General features: G+C 39.5%; 1 protein-coding gene across 4 annotated transcripts in view; it reads right to left on the bottom strand.

Moving 5' to 3' along the window:
• MEI4 (meiotic double-stranded break formation protein 4) overlaps window positions 1-21,049 on the bottom strand; it is a 276,772-nt gene that overhangs the window by 166,105 nt on the left and 89,618 nt on the right. The window lies entirely within an intron of this gene.

The raw sequence follows: 21,049 nt of genomic DNA, 5'->3' as shown, positions 1-21,049 counted from the left end.
GGTCTTTATCTTCATGGGTAGAAAGGTGACTCATTCATGTGTTTTCAGGTCATTATCTCTCATTCAATTACAATGCCATGCTTGAAAGATGCAGAAGAGAAAGCCACAAGACCTGAAGGAGGTCACAGTCTGGTAGTGAATCCAATAGGTAACTACAAAGCAATAAGGTGTACCCAGACATAGAGATTTACTGAGGGAACTATAAAATCAGGAGGGCCATTGAACAGCCTACCTTGTTAGATTAGTGTATCCTGGAAGAGGTCATGATGGAACTACTTATAAAGTAGGAGCTCAAAGTTAAAGTCAGGAGAAGACAGAAGGCAAAAAAATACCATACACCTAAGGGGTAAATGTAAACGCATAAATACAACAGGAAAAATAATAGCATTTGTGTATATGAGGACTCTCAAGTAATTTGATGTTGCTTCCACAGAAAGTATAAAGTAAGAGACTAAGATAAATAATATAGAGGCCAGATCATAAAAGATAATATAAGACATGTTAAGAACCTTCATCCTGTAAAGTGTAGAGTGAATTTACAATTCATCCTGTAAAGTGCAGAGTGAATTTCCAACTTGAATAATATAAGACCCCTTTGGAAAAATTATGCACATACACACATAAAATATCTGATATACAAATATAAATATATATAGATATCTACATATCTCTGTATATGTATATCATATATGTGTGTATATATATGTGTGTATATATATGTATATACATGTGTATGTACCTGTGTATGTACACATGTGTGTGTATGTGGTATAGATCCATGAAACTATGTCTATAACTTCTAGAATTTCCTCATCTTGGCTGAAAAATACTGCATTTAAAGCTAAATCTAATTACTCTCGGTCACTCTTTGACAGACATGCCATCATAAACACAAACAAAGTTGTGGTTGTTTTTAAAATGATTATCAGTAAAATGCATAAACCAAATTGAAAAGTTCTCATTGAATATTCTAAAGTACACACATATCCATGAAACTAAATATGAGAAATATGGCTGTCAGCAGTGGGAACAGGAATGAGGCACTGAAAGTTGTAATGCAGAAAAATGAAATAGTCTTATTTTAATTTCATCATTCTATTGGCTATAGGAAGGGCTTATTTGAGGCGAACATAATAAAACATTGAGCGATCAACTGAAAAGCACCTCTATTAGTCCCAACATTGGGTGAAGAGTGAAATGAACTAAGCAGCTGCAGTGGAAGAGAAAGAAAAGGACTGACTGGGAAAATAAACACAAAATATCAATATGTAATCTGGAGACCAGCTTACTGACTGAATATGGGCAATGAAGTGAAAGTATGAATACATGCATTCCATGGTTCTGACTTAGGTGACAAGGTAGATTATGGTGCTGCCAAATGAAATAGTAAAAAGATAAAAGAAATGGCTTAGAAGAGACTATAAAAAGTTCAGGTTTAGTCACATAAATTCTGAGGCAGCTGGAGAAAATCTAGTCAGAGATGATCCTTTAGAAACTGGTCACATAAGCCTAAGACTGGGGAGAAGGTCTAGACTGAAAATGCATTTTAGGAGTTATCAGTGTGTAGATAGCAGAAACTATAAAAATGATTACAATCATTCAGAGAGAGTATGGGCAGTGAGTAAACAAAGGATCAAAAAAGATACCCTGAATAGGATCAGTATTTGAAGGCTGGATAGAGACATAACAGTCATTAAGAACATAGAGAAGGAACAATTTAAAAGGTACAAGAAAAAATGATTGTGTCATAAAAGTCAAGGAAACAGTTTCAAGAAGAGTTACATACATGAAGCAAAAAAATCCACCAAAACAATAGGTTGAAAAAATGTCTGTTGGAATTGCTAATTTAAACAAACAAACAAACAAACAAAACACCAGTTACCTCATTCATAGCAGCTTCATCCAGAGCAGTTTTGATCGATTAGACAGGGTGGCAGACAGAGAACTTATTGCAATGGACTAAAGAGTGAATGAGAATAAAGTAAGTGAAGACTGGAAGTGAAGAAAGTAAGTGAAGACTGGAAGTAAGTGAAGAAAGTAAGTGAAGGACACTTCTGAGGACTTAGATCAGGAAAGCATAAAATGGATAGCAACTGCAGACAAATGTGGCATGACAAATTGAGTGAAATGAGCAATTAAAAACAAATAAAAAAACACAATGGATAAGCAGAGGTTGGAAATATGAGAAAAGAATGGCAGGTGAGACATGGCCCTGGAGAAGATAGGAGACTGAGTTAAGGACCCACTGGATGGGCTGGGATCTGTAATGCCAAAGTAAACACTTTTCTCTAAGCCGAAGGAAAAAGAATGAAAAAGTATAGGGTTGTGCAGAACTACTATTGGCATACAGGAAATTAAAGGAGATTTCACCTGACAGTAATATTTTCTTAAAGTTTGAGAAAGGGGGACAGTGGTTGAACAGTGCACAAAAAGAATGGTAAATGTGACATCTTCTACATTCTCCACCATATGGTTCGTAAATCTAATTTGCTGCTCTTGTCCTTCAGAAAAAAAGGAAGCTGATGAGGTAGAATTGGAGGATTGAGCTTTAACTTAGAATTTATTCATTTAACAAGTGTCTACTATAACCATCAAAAATGTGCAGACATGTGCTTGCTAATTATCACTACAACTTCTACATGCCATGCTTAAAAGGAGATAATTAAAAGGAGACAATGATAATGCAGAAAGTTCAAAAAGTAGTGGTAACCAGAAAAATGATCGATCAGCAAACAAACTGAACTGCATGTGGCTATTTCTTTCTTTCTTTTTTTTTTTTTTTTTTGTGAGATGGAGTCTTGCTCTGTCACCAAGCTGGAGTGCAGTGGCACGATCTTGGCTCACAGAACCTCCACCTCCTGGGTTCAAGTGATTCTCCTGCCTCAGCCTCCCAAGTAGCTGGGACTACAGGCACATGCCACCACACCCAGCTAATTTTTGTATTTTTAGTACAGACAGGGTTTCACCATGTTGGCCAGGATGGTCTCGATCTCTTGACCCTGTGATCCACCCGCCTCGGCCTCCCAAAGTGCTGGGATTACAGGCATGAGCCACCACGCCTGTCCTATTTCTATATTAACACAGCCAGATGGACTGATCATTTTAGGTGAATAGACACTGAAAATGACTTCTCAAGACATTAACTTCATTCTTCACATAAATAAAGGGGAAATACGGACTACACTAATCTAGAAAATTATACTTTTCTTTCATGGAAGTTAAAGTAATTTAAAAAACAGAACAATTGCATTAATCTTAAAGGTAAGCTTAACTTCATGTGTAATTATTTCAAGAAAAACTCAGAAAATGAATTCTACCAATGGATAAATTGGGAAGAAAAAAGGTGATTGCCAGTTTTTCTCTCTACTTCTCACTGCCATGCCTTTTGGCAAGCCACATCCACTCCATCTCATCCCCTTCAGGCATGACAAGTACAAATTTGAAAGAGTACCTCTACCAATGTATGCTATGGGGACAGGAATACACAACATTGACCACCTTTCTTACAGGCTGCTTTATTTCTATACCATCAGAAAAATGTCATGAGAGCATATGTTAGAAATGCTAATATGGAAAAACACACAAAGAAGAATCTCCTTTCAGTGCTCTAAAGGAATGCTTTAATGTCACAACAGAGAACTATGCTGGGATTTTACACAATATGGCTCCCAATGTTAAAGTCAAAATATCAAGCTGAATAAAAGAACCTTATATTCATATTTTATTATACAAACTAGCTTCATCAAACAATTCAACTGATATTCACAAAAACCCTGAAAGATATGTTATTTTGATCTCTAATTTGCCAATTAGGAAACGAAGCTCAGCTTGATTAAGAGAACTGAGAAAGAGCCACACAGTGAACAAGTGAAATCATTACATTCCAAGTCCAATCACCTTCCAATGACAGCAAAGAGGCTGTGTGCTCTATTCCAGCTTCTGTACATTTCCATTATAGTGTTCATTGATTTCTAAATGTTATCCACTTGTTTATGAGTTCCTTAAGGCCAGAGGCCCTGTCTCTTGTCATCCTTATGATCTTTTCACTAAACAATAGAATCATCTGTAGCAGACACCTCATCAGGGGAAATGCTTAGAGCTGAAACTTGCTGTGGGCTATAACAGGTCTTCTGTCATCTTTAATATTTATAATGAACCATGATCAACTCCTTGGAAAATTATACCAAACCACAACAATTACATAGATAGCCTAGAAAGATGAGACAGAAGGACAGAAATAGAAATAGAGAGAAGGAGAAGGCGGCGGGGGGGAGAGAGAGGAATACAAAGAGGGAGAGAAAGAGAGAGAGAGAGAGGGAGAGAGAGAGGGAGGGAGGGAGAGAAAGAGAGAAACCAAAAGAATATGGCTATTGCAATAATTATTTAAAATCAGCTAAAAAAAAGCCAATAATATGCTTTTTTATAGCATCTACTATTAATAACTTTTATAACCCATAACCAATTTAGTTCTGCTCCTATCTGTCCTCAACGATGAAAACTCTGACAACTACAAATAGCATTTACACTGGAAACCAATGCTTCCATACTGGAAACCACTCACTCCCTAATAAGGTAAATAATAGTGGGCAGCTGTGACTATAGTATGTGTCCTTAGAAGAGAAAAAACATAAATAGGAAAAAAAGTTTTCTTAGAAAAGATTAAATATTTTCAATATTAGTATTAATGGGTTATAATATCTGATAATAGTCATAAATATTTATTCATAAAGATTTTTAAGTATCCATTCTTGTTTGAGTAATATACAGCATGGACATAGACTAATATATCCTTGTCCCTTTAAATGGGTCTTTCATAACTACAACCAGATTCTATTCTTTGCTTGTATGACTGAGTTAGACCTCAAAGCATGGCTAAGAAAGCATCATGCCCAAAGGAGAGAAAAGATAATGAAGCCATGCTGGTGCCGCTTTCTGTAATTCCTGTTTTTCCAGGAGACACTAAGGTAAAGCAAAAGTCAAATAAAGTTTCTGCCTTCATTTATTATTGTGCAGACAAGCTTGCGGTAATGTCTCTCCAATTTATTGCACCTATCTGTTTGTCATTAGATTTAATAGAGGTAAAATACACACACACACACACACACACACACACACCATTCCAGCACAATTTGACACATATTGTTTCATGTTTTTTATTATTACATAATTATGGAGATCAGAAATCTAAATTATGCTAAAGTATGCAATCATAACCAAAAGTACATGAAATATCAATTAAACATTATAATAAACACCCAGCACATGGGAGTCCGAGGTGGGCAGATCATGAGGTCAAGAGTTCAAGACCAGCCTGGCCAACATGGTAAAACCCCATCTCTACTAAAAATACAAAAGTTAGCCGGGTGTGGTGGTGTGTGCCTGTAATCTCAGCTACTCGGGAGGCTGAGGCAGGAGAACTGATTGAACATGGGAGGTGGAGGTTTCAGTAAACCGAGATCGTGCCACTGCACTCCAGCCTGGGTGACACAGTGAGACTCTGTCTTAGAAAAAAAAAAAGTATGAATAAACAAAACCTACAGAGTTCATCTACAATATTCTAAGTCCCTCTTACACACTGGATCCCATAGACTTTATATTTCATTTTGCTGAACCCTTAACCCTTACATTTTTTTTCTGTTTATAAGGTCCACCTTGAACTAATTTACCATTTTAGAGTGGATCTCAAGTATACTTAACAATACTTAAGTTAAGTGTACTTAATTATACTCTATTTATTCACAATCACACCATCTCTTTTTCTTTTTTTTCAGGACACTGTGTACCACTTGTTGCCCAGGTTGGTCTCAAATCTTGATTCCTGCTCTCAAGGGATCCTTCCACTTCAGCTTCCCAAATCACGGGAATTACAGGTGCCACCAACTGTGCCCAGTCACATGAATTCTTGATACCTTTCTTACTTATTTCTACATTCCCTAACTTACCCATAAAATTAAACCCATTGATATGGCTTGGTTCTGTGTCCCCATTTAAATCTCATCTCAAACTGTAATACCCACATGTCAAGGGAGAGGCCTGGTGGGAGGTGATTGGATCATGGGGGTGGTTACTGCTGTGTCGTTCTCATGACAGTGAGTGAGTTGTCACAAGATCTGGTGGTTTTATAAGGGGCTCTTTCCCCCTTCACTCTCTCTCTCCGCATGTAAGAAGTGCCTGCTTTCCCTTCCACCATGATTGTGGGTTCCCTGAGGCCACCCCAGCCATGTGGAAATGTGAGTCAACAGAACCTCATTTCTTTGTAAATTACCCAGTTTGGGGAAGTTCTTTATAGCAGAGTGAAAATGAACTAATACAAGAAATTGGTACTGCATAGAGTGGGGTACTGCTATAAAGATAACCTGAAAATGTGGAAGCAACTTTGAAACTGGGTAACAGGCAGAGATTGCAACCATTCTGAGGGTACACAAGAAGACAGGAAGATGTCAGAAAGTTTGGAACTTCCTAAAGACCTGTTAAATGATTTTGACCAAAATGCTGATAGTGATGTAAACAGTAAAGCCTAGGCTGAGGTGGTCTCAGGTGCAGATGAGGAACTTATTGGGAACTGGAGTAAAAGTAACTCTTGCTATGCTTTAGCAAAGAGACTGGCGGCATTTTGCCTCTGCCGTAGAGATCTTTGGAGCCTTGTTTGTTTGTTTTGAGCTTCACTTATTATTTATTTATTTATTTCTATTATACTTTAAGTTCTGGGGTACATGTGCAGAACATGCAGGTTTGTTACATAGGTATTCACATGCCATGGTGGTTTGCTGCACCCATCAACCCATCATCTACATTAGGTATTTCTCCTAATGCCATCCCTCCCCAGAACCCCCCTAACCCCCTACAGGACATGGTGTGTGATGTTCCCCTCCCTGTGTCCATGTGCTTTCATTGTTCAACTCCCACTTATGAGTGAGACATGCGGTGTTTGGTTTTCTGCTGATGTGTTAGTTTGCTGAGAAAGATGGTTTCCAGCTTCATCCATGTCCCTGCAAAGGACATGAACTCATCCTTTTTCATGGCTGCACAGTATTCCATGGTGTATATGTGCCACATTTTCTTTGTCCAGTCTATCATTGATGGGTATTTGGGTTGGTTCCAAGTCTTTGCTATTGTGAACAGTGCCGCAACAAACATACGTGTGCATGTGTCTTTATAGCAGAATGGTTTATAATCCTTTGGGTATATACTCAGTAATGGGATTTCTGGGTCAAATGGTATTTCTGGTTCTAGATCCTTGAGGAATCGACCTACTGTCTTCCACAATGGTTGAACACATTTACACTCCGACCAACAGTGTAAAAGCATTCCTATTTCTCCACATCCTCTCCAGCATCTGCTGTTTCCTGACTTTTTAATGATTGCCATTCTAACTGGCGTGAAGTGATATCTCATTGTGGTTTTGATTTGCATTTCTCTAATGATCAGCGATGCTGAGCTTTTTTTCATACGTTTGTTGGCTGCATAAATGCCTTCTTTTGAGAAGTGTCTGTTGAAATCCTTCACCTACTTTTTGATGGGGTTGTTTTTTTTTCTTGTAAATTTGTTTAAGTTCTTTGTAGATTCTGGATATTAGCCCTTTGTCAGATGGATAGATTGTAAAACTTTTCTCCCATTCTGTAGGTTGGCTGTTCACTCTGATGATAGTTTCTTCTGCTGTGCAGAAGCTCTTTAGTTTAATTAGATCCCATTTGTCTATTTTGGCTTTTGTTGCCATTGCTTTGGGTGTTTTAGTCATGAAGTCTTTGCCCATGCCTATGTCCTGAATGGTATTGCCTAGGTTTTCTTCTAAGGTTTTTATGGTTTTAGGTCTTACATTTAATTCTTCAATCCATCTTGAGTTAATTTTTGTGTAAGTTGTAAGGAAGAGATCCAGTTTCAGCTTTCTGCATATGGCTAGCCAGTTTTCCCAAAACCATTTATTAAATAGGGAATCCTTTCCCCATTTCTTGTTTTTGTCAGGTTTGTCAAAGATCCAATGGTTATAGATGCGTGGCGTTATTTCTGAGGACTCCGTTCTGTTCCACTGGTCTATATATCTGTTTTGGTACCAGTACCATGCTGTTTTGTTTACTGTAGCCTTGTAGTATAGTTGTAGTAGTGTGACGCCTCCAGCTTTGATCTTTTTGCTTAGGATTGTCTTGGCTATGTGGGCTCTTCTTTGGTTCCAAATGAAATTTAAATTAGTTTTTTTCCAATTCTGTGAAGAAAGTCAGTGGTAGCTTAATGGGGATACACTGAATCTAAAAATTACTTTGGGCATTATGGTCATTTTTGTGATATGATTCTTCCTATCAATGAGCATGGAAAGTTTTTCTATTTGTTTGTGTCTTCTCTTATTTCCTTAAGCAGTGGTTTGTAGTTCTCCTTGAAGAGATCCTTCACATCCCTTGTAAGTTGTATTCCTAGGTATTTTATTCTCTTAGTAGCAATTGTGAATGGGAGTTCACTCATGATTTGGCTCTCTGTCTGTTCTTGGTGTATAAGAATGCTTGTGATTTTTGCACATTGATTTTGTATCCTGAGACTTTGCTGAAGTTGCTTATCAGCTTAAGACAGCTGAGACAATGGGGGTTTCTAAATATACAATCACGTCATCTGCAAACAGAGACAATTTGACTTCCTCTTTTCCTAAGTAAATACCCTTTATTTCTTTCTCCTGCCTGATTGCCCTGGCCAGAACTTCCAAAACTATCTTGAATGGGAGTAGTGAGAGAGGGCATCCTTGTCTTGTGTGGATTTTCAAAGGGAATGCCTCTAGTTTTTGCCCATTCAGTATGATATTGGCTGTGGGTTTGTCATAAATAGCTCTTATTATTTTGAGATACGTTCCATCAATACCTAGTTTACTGAGAGTTTTTAGCATGAAGGCTGTTGAATTTTGTCAAAGGCCTTTTCTGGGTCTACTGAGATAATCATGTGGTTTTTGTCATTGGTTCTGTTTATGTGATGGATTATGTTTATTGATTTGTGTATGTTGAACTAGCCTTGCATCCCAAGGATGAAGCCGACTTGATCATGGTGGATAAGCTTTTTGATGATGTGCTGCTGGATTCGGTTTGCCAGTATTTTATTGAGGATTTTCGTGTTGATGTTCATCAGGGATATTGGCCTGAAATTTTCTTTTTTTGTTGTGTCTCTGCCAGGTTTTGGTATCAGGATGATGCTGGCCTCATAAAATGAGTTAGGAAGGATTCCCTGTTTTTCTATTGTTTGGAATAATTTCAGAAGGAATGGTACCAGCTCCTTTTTGTACCTCTGGTAGAATTTGGCTGTTAATCCATCTGGTCCTGGACTTTTTTTGGTTAGTAGGCTATTAATTGCTGCCTCAATTTCAGAACTTGTTATTGGTCATTTCAGGGCTTGGATGTTTTCCTGGTTTAGTCTCGGGAGGGTGTATGTGTTCAGGAACTTACCCAATTCTTCTAGATTTTCTAGTTTATTTGCATAGAGGTTGCAAATTCTCTGTTGGTAGTTTGTATTTCTGTGGGATACATGGTGATATCCCCTTTATCATTTTTTATTTCATCTATTTGATTCTTCTCTCTTTTCTTCTTTATTAGTCTGGCTAGTGGTCTATTTGTTTTCTTGATCTTTTCAAACCACCTCCTGGATTCACCAAGTTTTTTCAAGGGTTTTTTTTTGTGTGTTTCTATCTCCTTCAGTTCTGCTCTGATCTTAGTTATTTCTTGTCTTCTGATAGCTCTTGAATTTGTTTGCTCTTGTTTCTCAGTTCTTTTAATTGTGATGTTAGGGTGTCGATTTTAGATCTTTCCTGCTTTCTCTTGTGGGCATTTAGTGCTATACATTTCTCTCTACACACTGTTTTAAATGTGTCTCAGAGATTCTGGCACATTTTGTCTTTGTTCTTATTGGTTTCAAAGAACATCTTTATTTCTGCCTTCATTTCATTATTTACCCAGTAGTCATTCAGGAGCAGGTTGTTCAGTTTCCATGCAGTCGTGCAGTTTTGAGTGAGTTTCTTAATCCTGAGTTCTAATTTGCACTGTGGTCTGAGAGACTGTTTGTTATGATTTCCCTTCTTTTGCATTTGCTAAGAAGTGTTTTACTTCCAATTATGTGGTCAATTTTAGAGTAAGAATGATGTGGTGCTGAGAAGAATATATATTCTGTTGATTTGGGGTGGAGAGTCCTGTAGATGTCTGTTAGGTCTGCTTGGTCCAGAGCTAAGTTCAAGTCCTGGATATCCTTTGTTAATTTTTTGTCTCATTGATCTGTCCAATGTTGACAGTGGGGTGTTGAAGTCTCCCAATATTATTGTGTGGGAGTCTAAGTCTCTTTGTAGGTCGCTAAGAACTTGCTTTATGACTCTGGGTGCTCCTGTACTGGCTGCATATATATTTAGGATAATTAGCTCTTCTTGTTGTATTGATCCCTTTACCATTATGTAATGGCCTTCTTTGTCTCTTTTGATCTTTGTTGGTTTAAAGTCTGTTTTATCAGAGACTAGGATTGCAATACCTGCTTTCTTTGGTTTCCATTTGCGTGGTAAATATTCCTCCATCCCTTTATTTTGAGCCTATGTGTGTCTTTGCATGTGGGATGGGTCTCCTGAATACAACACACCAATGCGTCTTGACTCTTTATCCAGTTTGCCAGTCTGTGTCATTTAACTGGGGCATTTAGCCCTTTTACATTTAAGGTTACTATTGTTATGTGTGAATTTGATCCTGCCACTATGATGCTAGCTGTTTCTTTTGCCCGTTAGTTGATGCAGTTTCTTCACAGCATTGATAGTCTTTACAATTTGGTATGTTTTTGCAGTGACTGGTACCGGTTGTTCCTTTCCATGTTTAGCGCTTCATTCAGGAGCTCTCATAAGGCAGGCTTGGTGATGACAAAAATCTCTCAGCATTTGCTTGTCTGTAAAGAATTTTATTTCTCCTTCGCTTATGAAGCTCAGTGTGGCTGGATATGAAATTCTGGGTTGAAAACTCTTTTCTTTAAGAATGTTGAATATTGGCCCCCACTCTCTTCTGGCTTGTAGGATTTCTGCAGAGAGATCTGCTGTTAGTCTGGTGGGCTTCTGTTTGTGGGTAACCCAACCTATCTCTCAGGCTGCCCTTAACATTTTTTCCCTCATTTCAACCTTGGTGAATCTGATCATTATGTGTCTTGGGGTTGCTCTTCTTCAGGAGTATCTTTGTGGTGTTCTCTGTATTTCCTGAATTTGAATGTTGGCCTGCCTTGCTAGTTTGGGGAAGTTCTCCTGGCTAATAGCCTGAAGATTGTTTTCCAACTTGGTTCCATTCTCCCAGTCTCTTTCAGGTACACCAATCAAGCATAGATTTGTTCTTTTCACACAGTCCCATATTTCTTGGAGGCTTTGTTTGTTTCTTTTCATTCTTTTTTCTCTAATCTTGTTTTCTCACTTTATTTCATTGAGTTGATCTTCAATCTCTGATATCCTTTCTTCCACTTGATCGATTCAGCTATTGATACTTGTGTAGGCTTCACGAAGTTCTCATGCTGTGTTTTTCAGCTCCATCAGGTCATTTATGTTCTTCTCTAAACTTGCTGTTCTAGTAAGCAATGCATCTAACCTTTTATCAAGGTTCTCAGCTTCCTTGCATAGGGTTAGAACATGCTCCTTTAGCTTGGAGGAGTTTATTACCCACCTTCTGAAGCCTACTTCTGTCAATTCATCAAACCCATTCTCTGTTCAGTTTTCTTCTCTTGCTGTTGAGGAGTTGTGATCCTTTGGAGGAGAAGAGGTGTTCTGGGTTTTGGAATCTTCAGCTTTTTTGCACTGGTTTCTCCCCATCTTTATGGATTTATCTACCTTTGGTCTTTGAAGTCACTGACCTTCTGCTGGGGTCTCTGAGTGGGCATCTTTTTATTTGATGTTGATACTATTCCTTTCTGTTTGTTAGTTTTCCTTCTAACAGGCCCCTCTGCTGCAGGTCTGTGGGAGTTTGCTGGAGGTCCACTCCAGACCCTGTTTTCCTGGGTATCACCGGCAGAGGCTGGAGAACAGCAAAGATTGCTGCCTGTTCCTTTCTCTGGAAGCTTCATCCCAGAGGGGCATCTGCCAGATGCTAGCCAGAGCTCTCCTGTATGACATGTCTGTCGGCCCCTACTGGGAACTTTGAACTTCAAAGAGATGACTTAGAAAATCTATATGAAGAAATTTCAAAGCAGCAAAGCATTCAAGAGGTGACAGAGCATAAAAGTTTAGAAAATTTGCAGCCTGACCATGTCTTAGAAAAGAAAAACCTATTTTCTTGGGAGAAATTCAAGCCAGCTGCAGAAATTTACATAAATAATGAGGAGTCTAATGTTAATCTCCAAGACAATGGGGAAAATGTCTCCACGGATGTCAGAGACCTTTAATGCAGCCCCTCCCATCACGGGCCCCCAGGCCTAGTAGGATAAAATGGCTTCCTGGGCTAGGCCCAGGACCACACTCCTGCTCTGTGCAGCCTAGGGACTTGGTGCCCTGTATCCCAGCTGCTCCAGCTCCAGTTGTAGCTGAAAGGGGCCACAGTAAAGCTTGGGCTATTGCTTCAGTGGGTGTAAACCCCAAGCAGCTTCCACATGGTGTTGGGCCTGCAGTTGCACAGAATTCAACAGTTAAGGTTTGGAAACCACTGACTAGATTTCAGAGGATGTATGGAAATGCCTGGATGTCCAGGCAGAAGTCTGCTGCAGGGGGAGAGGCCTCATGGAGAGCCACTGCTATGGCAGTGTGGAAGGCAAACGTGGGGTTGGAGCCACAGCACAGTCCCCACTGGGGCACTGCCTAGTGAAGCTGAGAGAAGAGGGCTACTGTCCCCCAGATCCCAGAATAGTAGATCCACCAACAGCTTGCACTGTGTGCCTGGAAAAGCCATGGGCACTGAATGCTACCCTGTGACGGAGCTGCCAAAGGCCATGGGCACCCCTTGCATCAGCAGATGCGAGACATGGTGTCAAAGGAGATCATTTCAGCCCTTTAGGATTTGACTACCCCACTGGATTCTGCACTTGCATGGGGCCTGTAGCCCCCTTTGTTTTGGTCAATTTCTCCCATTTGGAACAGGAGCATTTACCCAACACCAGTACCCCCATTGTATCTTGGAAGTAACTAAGCAGCTTTTGATTTTACAGGTAAATAGGTAAAAGGGACTTGCCTTGTCTCAGATGAGACTTTGGACTGTGAATTTTTTAGTAATGCTAAAATGGGTTAAGACTTTGGGGGACTGTTGCAAAGGGATGATTGTGTTTTAAAATGTGAGAAGAATATGAGACTTGAGAGGGACCAGTGGTGGAATAATATGGTTTGGCTCTGTGTCCCCACCCAAATCTCATCTTGAACTGTAATCCCCATGTATCAAGGGAGGGACCTGGCAGAAGATGACTGGATCATAGGGGTGGTTTCCCCTAAGCTGTTCTCATGACACTAAGTGGGTTCTCATGAGATCTGATGGTTTTATAAGGGGCTCTTCCCCCTTTGCTCTCTCTCTCACCTGCTGCCATGTAACACATGACTGTGTCCCCTTCTACCATGACTGTGCGTTTCCTGAGGGCTCCCTAGCCATTTGGAACTGTGAGTCAATTAAATCTATTTTCTTTGTAAACTATACAGTCTCCAGGCAGTCCTTTCTCTTTTTCTTTTTTTTTAGATGGAGTCTTGAGTCTTGCTCTGTTGCCTAGGCTGAAGTGCAGTGGCACAATCTCGGCTCACTACAATCTCTGCTTCCTGGGTTCAAGTGCTTCTCCTGCCTAAACCTCCCTAGTAGCTGGGATTACAGGTGTGTGCCACCATGCCCAGTTAATTTTTGCATTTTTAGTAGAGATGAGGTTTCACCATGTTAGTCAGGCTGGTCTTGAACTCCTGATATCAGGTGATCTGCCCGCCTCAGCCTCCCAAAGTACTGGGATTACAGACATGAGCCACCGCACCCAGCCTCAGGCAGTTCTTTATAGCAGTGTGAAAATGAAATAATACACTCATAGAACCAAATGTCAAAAGGGTAATTTTTTCCTGAACTCTCTACAAGCTCATAAACTTTATAGAACTGAACAAATCATCTTCATGCATCGCACATAAAAATACACAATTTATGTTTGCCCTACGTGTTGTCCATTTCAGCTAATATTGTGGCTATCCCTCCTGTCACTAGGGCCAGAGTAAAAAACCATCCTTGGCTCCTTTCTCTCTTTTACCCTCCACATACAGTGAAAGCACTATGTTATCCTGATTCTAACTTTGACACCTTTATTAGGGTTTTTCAGAGAAACCGAAATATATGTACATATTCATACACACACACACACACACACACACACACACACACACGCCATATATTTTAAGAAACTGACTTAAGCAATTGGCTGAAGCAAGCATGGAGGCTGAGAAGTACCAAGATCTGCAGTCAGCAAGCTGGAGACCCAGGATACTGTAAGTTGTAGTCCAAAAACTGGCAGACTTAAGACCCAAGAGCTGATGTTGCAGTTTGAGTGTGAAAGCAGGATAAATGCCATGTCCCAGCTCAAGGCATTCGAGCAAGAGGAGTCCCCCCTTACTTAAGGAAGGGTTAACTTTTTTGTTTCAACTCAGGGCTTCCACTTATTGGATGAGGCCAACCTACATTTCGGAGGTAATCTGCTTTACTCAGCCTACCAGTTCAAATAATCTTATCTGAAAACACATTTAAAGACACACAGAATGTGTCTATTTGATTCTTCTCTCTTTTCTTCTTTATTAGTCTTGCTAGCGGTCTATCAATTTTGTTGATCCTTTCAAAAAACCGGCTCCTGGATTCAGTAGTTTTTTTGAAGGGTTTTTTGTGTCTCTATTTCCTTCAGTTCTGCTCTGATTTTAGTTATTCCTTGCCTTCTGCTAGCTTTTGAATACGTTTGCTCTTGCTTTTCTAGTTCTTTTAATTGTGATGTTAGGGTGTCAATTTTGGATCTTTCCTGCTTTCTCTTGTGGGCATTTAGTGTTATAAATTTCCCTCTACACACTGCTTTGAATGTGTCCCAGAGATTCTGGTATGTTGTGTCTTTGTTCTCGTTGGTTTCAAAGAACATCTTTATTTCTCCCTTCATTTCATTATGTACCCAGTAGTCATTCAGGAGCATGTTGTTCAGTTTCCATGTAGTTGAGCGGTTTTGAGTGAGATTCTTAAGCCTGAGTTCTAGTTTGATTGCACTGTGGTCTGAGAGAGAGTTTGTTATAATTTCTGTTCTTTTACATTTGCTGAGGAGTGCTTTACTTCCCAGTATGTGGTCAATTTTGGAATAGGTGTGGTGTGGTGCTGAAAAAAATGTATATTCTGTTGATTTGGGGTGGAGAGTTCTGTAGATGTCTATTATGTCTGCTTGGTGCAGAGCTGAGTTCAATTCCTGGGTATCCTTGTTAACTTTCTGTCTCACTGATCTGTCTAATGTTGACAGTGGGGTATTAAAGTCTCCCATTATTAATGTGTGGGAGTCTAAGTCTCTATGTAGGTTACTCAAGACTTGCTTTATGAATCTGGGTGCTCCTGTATTGGGTGCATATATATTTAGGATAGTTAGCTCTTTTTGTTGAATTGATCCCTTTACCATTATGTAATGGCCTTCTTTGTGTCTTTTGATCTTTGTTGGTTTAAAGTCTGTTTTATCAGAGACTAGGATTGCAACCCCTGCCTTTTTTTGTTTTCCATTTGCTTGGTAGGTCTTCCTCCATCCTTTTATTTTGAGCCTATGTGTGTCTCTGCACGTGAGATGGGTTTACTGAATATAGCACACTGATGGGTCTTGACTCTTTATCCAATTTGCCAGTCTGTGTCTTTTAATTGGAGCATTTAGTCCATTTACATTTAAAGTTAATATTGTTATGTGTGAATTTGATCCTGTCATTATGATGCTAGCTGGTTATTTTGCTTCTCAGTTGATGCAGTTTCCTCCTAGCCTCAATGGTCTTTACAATTTCGCATGATTTTGCAGTGGCTGGTACCGGTTGTTCCTTTCCATGTTTAGTGCTTCCTTCAGGAGCTCTTTTAGGGCAGGCATGGTGGTGACAAAATTTCTTAGCATTTGCTTCTCTGTAAAGCATTTTATTTCTCCTTCACTTATGAAGCTTAGTTTGGCTGGATATGAAATTCTGGGTTGAAAATTCTTTCCTTTAAGAATGTTGAATATTGGCCCCCACTCTCTTCTGGCTTCTAGGGTTTCTGCCGAGAGATCGACTGTTAGTCTGATGGGCTTCCCCTTGTGGGTAACCATACCTTTCTCTCTGGCTGCCCTTAACAATTTTTCCTTCATTTCAACTTTGGTGAATCTGACAATTACGTGTCTTGGAGTTGCTCTTCTCCAGGAGTATCTTTGTGGCGTTCTCTGTATTTCCTGAATCTGAATGTTGGCCTGCCTTGCTAGATTGGGGAAGTTCTCCTGGATAATATCCTGAAAAGTGTTTTCCAACTTGGTTCCATTCTCCCCATCACTTTCAGGTACACCAATCAGACGTAGATTTGGTCTTTTCGCATAGTCCCATATTTCTCGGAGGCTTTGTTTGTTTCTTTTTATTCTTTTTTCTCTAAACTTCTCTTGTCGCTTCATTTCATTCATTTCATCTTCCATCACTGATACCCTTTCTTCCAGTTGATTGCATCGGCTCCTGAGGCTTCTGCATTCTTCACGTAGTTCTCGAGCCTTGGCTTTCAGCTCCATCAGCTCCTTTAAGTACTTCTCTGTATTGGTTATTCTAGTTATACATTCGTCTAAATTTTTTTCAAAGCTTTTAACTTCTTTGCCTTTGGTTTGAATTTCCTCCTGTAGCTCGGAGTAGTTTGATCGTCTGAAGCCTTCTTCTCTCAACTCGTCAAAGTCATTCTCCATCCAGCTTTGTTCCATTGCTGGTGAGGAACTGCATTCCTTTGGAGGAGGAGAGGTGCTCTGCTTTTTAGAGTTTCCAGTTTTTCTGCTCTGTTTTTTCTCCGTCTTTGTGGTTTTATCTACTTTTGGTCTTTAATGATGGTGATGTACAGATGGGTTTTTGGTGTGGATGTCCTTTCTGTTTATTAGTTTTCCTTCTAACAGACAGCACCCTCAGCTGCAGGTCTGTTGGAGTTTGCTAGAGGTCCACTGCACACCCTGTTTGCCTGCGTATCAGCAGCGGTGGCTGCATAACAGCAGATTTTTGTGAACCACGAATGCTGCTGTCTGATCTTTCCTCTGGAAGTTTTGTCTCAGAGGAGTACCTGGCCATGTGAGGTGTCAGTCTGCCCCTACTGGGGGGTGCCTCCCAGTTAGGCTGCTCGGGGGTCAGGGGTCAGGGACCCACTTGAGGAGGCAGTCTGCCTGTTCTCAGATCTCCAGCTGCGTGCTGGGAGAACCACTGCTATCTTCAAAGCTGACAGACAGGGACATTTAAGTAAGTCCCTGTTTGCAGATGACATGACTGTATATCTAGAAAACCCCGTCATCTCAGCCCAAAATCTCCTTAAGCTGATAAGCAACTTCAGCAAAGTCTCAGGATACAAAATCAATGTACAAAAATCACAAGCATTCTTATACACCAATAACAGACAAACAGAGAGCCAAATTATGAGTGAACTCCAATTCACAATTGCTTCAAAGAGAGTAAAATACCCAGGAATCCAACTTACAAGGGATGTGAAGGACCTCTTCAAGGAGAACTACAAACCACTGCTCAAGGAAATAAAAGAGGATACAAACAAATGGAAGAACATTCCATGCTCATGGGTAGGAAGAATCAATATCATGATAATGGCCATACTGCCCAAGGTAATTTATAGATTCAATGCTATCCCCATCAATCTACCAATGACTTTCTTCACAGAGTTGGAAAAAACTACTTTCAAGTTCATATGGAACCAAAAAAGAGCCCGCATCGCCAAGTCAATCCTAAGCCAAAAGAACAAAGCTGGAGGCATCACGCTACCTGACTTCAAACTATACTATAAGGCTACAGTAACCAAAACAGCATGGTACTGGTACCAAAACAGAGATATAGATCAATGGAACAGAACAGAGCCCTAAGAAATAACGCCGCATATCTACAACTATCTAATCTTTGACAAACCTGTGAAAAACAAGCAATGGGGAAAGGAGTCCCTATTTAATAAATGGTGCTGGGAAAACTGGCTAGCCATATGTAGAAAGCTGAAACTGGATCCCTTCCTTACACCTTATACAAAAATTAATTCAAGATGGTTTAAAGACTTACATGTTAGACCTAAAACCATAAAAACCCTAGAAGAAAACCTAGGCATTACCATTCAGGACACAGGCATGGGCAAGGACTTCAGGTCTAAAACACCAAAAGCAATGGCAACAAAAGCCAAAATTGACAAATGGGATCTAACTAAACTAGAGAGCGTCTGCACAGCAAAAGAAACTACGTCAGAGTGAATAGGCAACCTACAAAATGGGAGAAAATTTTCGCAAACTACTCATCTCACCAAGGGGCTAATATCCAGAATCTACAATGAACTCAAATAAATTTACAAGAAAAAACAAACAACCCCATCAAAAAGTGGGCAAAGGACATGAACAGACACTTCTCAAAAGAAGACATTTATGCAGCCAAAAAACACAGGAAAAAATGCTCACCATCACTGGCCATCAGAGAAATGCAAATCAAAACCACAATGAGATACCATCTCACACCAGTTAGAATGGCAATCATTAAAAAGTCAGGAAACAACAGGTGCTGGAGAGGATGTGGAGAAATAGGAACACTTTGACACTGTTGGTGGGACTGTAAACTAGTTCAACCCTTGTGGAAGTCAGTGTGGCGATTCCTCAGGGATCTAGAACTAGAAATACCATTTGACCCAGCCATCCCACTACTGGGTATATACCCCAAAGGACTATAAATCATGCTGCTATAAAGACACATGCACACGTATGTTTATTGTGGCACTATTCACAATAGCAAAGACTTGGAACCAAGCCAAATGTCCAACAATGATAGACTGGATCAAGAAAATGTGGCACATATACACCATGGAGTACTATGCAGCCATAAAAAATGATGAGTTCATGTCCTTTGTAGGGACATGGATGAAACTGGAGATCATCATTCTCAGTAAACTGTCACAAGGACAAAAAACCAAACACCGCATGTTCTCACTCATAGGTGGGAATTGAACAATGAGAACACATGGACACAGGAAGGGGAACATCACACTCTGGGGACTGTTGTGGGGTGGGGGGAGGGGGGAGGGATAGCATTAGGAGATATGCCTAATGCTAAATGACGAGTTAATGGGTGCAGCACACCAGCATGGCACATGTGTACATATGTAACTAACCTGCACATTGTGCACATGTACCCTAAAACTTAAATTAAAAATAAAAATTAAAATTAAAAAACACACAGAATGATGTTGGATCAAACATCTGGATACTTCATGACCCATCAAGTGGACATATAAAATTAACTGTCATAACATATGTATCTGAATCTGTCCTTCCCTAGTCCCTTCCACTACTTTAATCCACATCATTATGATCTCTTGAACTGATTACCACAATTATCTCACCTAGCTGATTACTGCCTTCTGGTTCTGTTCTCCTCTAGGCCACACTCTAGACCAATCAGAGAGTCACCCTTCTAAAATACTACTTTGATAACAGAAATTCTCTCCTTAAAATCTCCCACAGGCTACCCATACCTTACAGGACAGAGTTCTCCATGTTCCTCAGTTTTGCCCAGAAAGCCTTTCACTGTGTGGCCCCTTCGTCCTTCTCCAGCCTTCCCTCTACTCTTATCGTTATTTACATGCAAGCAACTTTAAATTCCTGACAGTTCACCAAAACATGCCATGCTAATTAACATAACTGCACAGGTTTTTTCCCATCTGGTGTGTTTCTTATACCATAATCCAGATGTGTACTGATTCTTCAAACCCTGCTTCAAATTTTCTGTGAAACCATCCCTGCTCTCTCCAGACAAAAAAAGTATCTCCCCTGTCTATGCTATCTTGTACCTTACATATAATTATATTACTGTACTCATTAACCTGTTTTAAGGGTTTTAGTGACTCCCTATTGTAAAGACGAGGTTCTTCAGGGTAGACACAGAGTTTATTTTGTGGGTATTTCTGTTGTTTGATGCCTGCTCTCCTACATAATTGGTGGTCTGAATTCATATTATATATATATTTTTTTCAAAATATATATGTTCAACATTATTTATAAATATATAAATATGTGTGTGTCTATACAGATAAAGGTTGAGATCAAATAAAATCTCTTCAAATGCACTTGAAATAACATCACAGGTATACACAATTTGTTAGTACCATCTATGATTTCCTAGCATTAATAATAATCACTCACATATACTGATGCCTTAAATTCGACTACTTAAAAGCAATGTTTATGCCACCTGGTGGTCAAACAGGAAATGCTATTTTAAAATATTTCATAATTCATATTGTGATATGAGTGTTTCAGTTTAAAGCAATTGACTTCTGCCTCTAGAAGGATATATTTTATCACATTGCAAAGCATTTTTGAGAAATGGTGACAAAGAAAAGGCTTCAATTGCAGTAATAGTGGGAGACTTCAGCACCCCACTGACAGTATTAGACAGATCATTAAAGCAAAAAATTAACAAAGATATTGAGGACCCAACTCATCACTGGATCAAATGGACCTGATAGACATCTACAGAACTCTCTACCTCAAAACAACAGAATGTACATTCTTCTCATCCTCATGTGCCACCACATGGCACATACTCTAAAATCGATCACATAATCAAACATAAAAAACTCCTCAGCAAATGCAGAAGAACTGAAATCATAACAGCCATTCTCTCAGACGACAGTGTAATTAAAATAGAATTCAAGAATAAGAAAATAACTCAAAACCATACAGTTACATAAAAAGTGAATAACCTGCTCCTGAATGACTTTGGGGTAAATAATGCAATTAAGGTAGAAATCAATAAATTGTTTGAAACTAATGAGAACAAAGATACAACATAACAGGATCTCTGGGACACAGCTAAGGCAGGGTTAGGAGGAAAAATTATAGCATTAAACATCCACATCAGAAAGTTAGAAAGATCTCAATTTAATAACCT

This window comes from Homo sapiens, chromosome 6 (assembly GCF_000001405.40).
Source record: "Homo sapiens chromosome 6, GRCh38.p14 Primary Assembly".
Taxonomy (NCBI): domain Eukaryota; kingdom Metazoa; phylum Chordata; class Mammalia; order Primates; family Hominidae; genus Homo; species Homo sapiens.
Note: the sequence above shows the minus strand (reverse complement) of the source record. Positions and strands in the feature narration are given on the sequence as shown.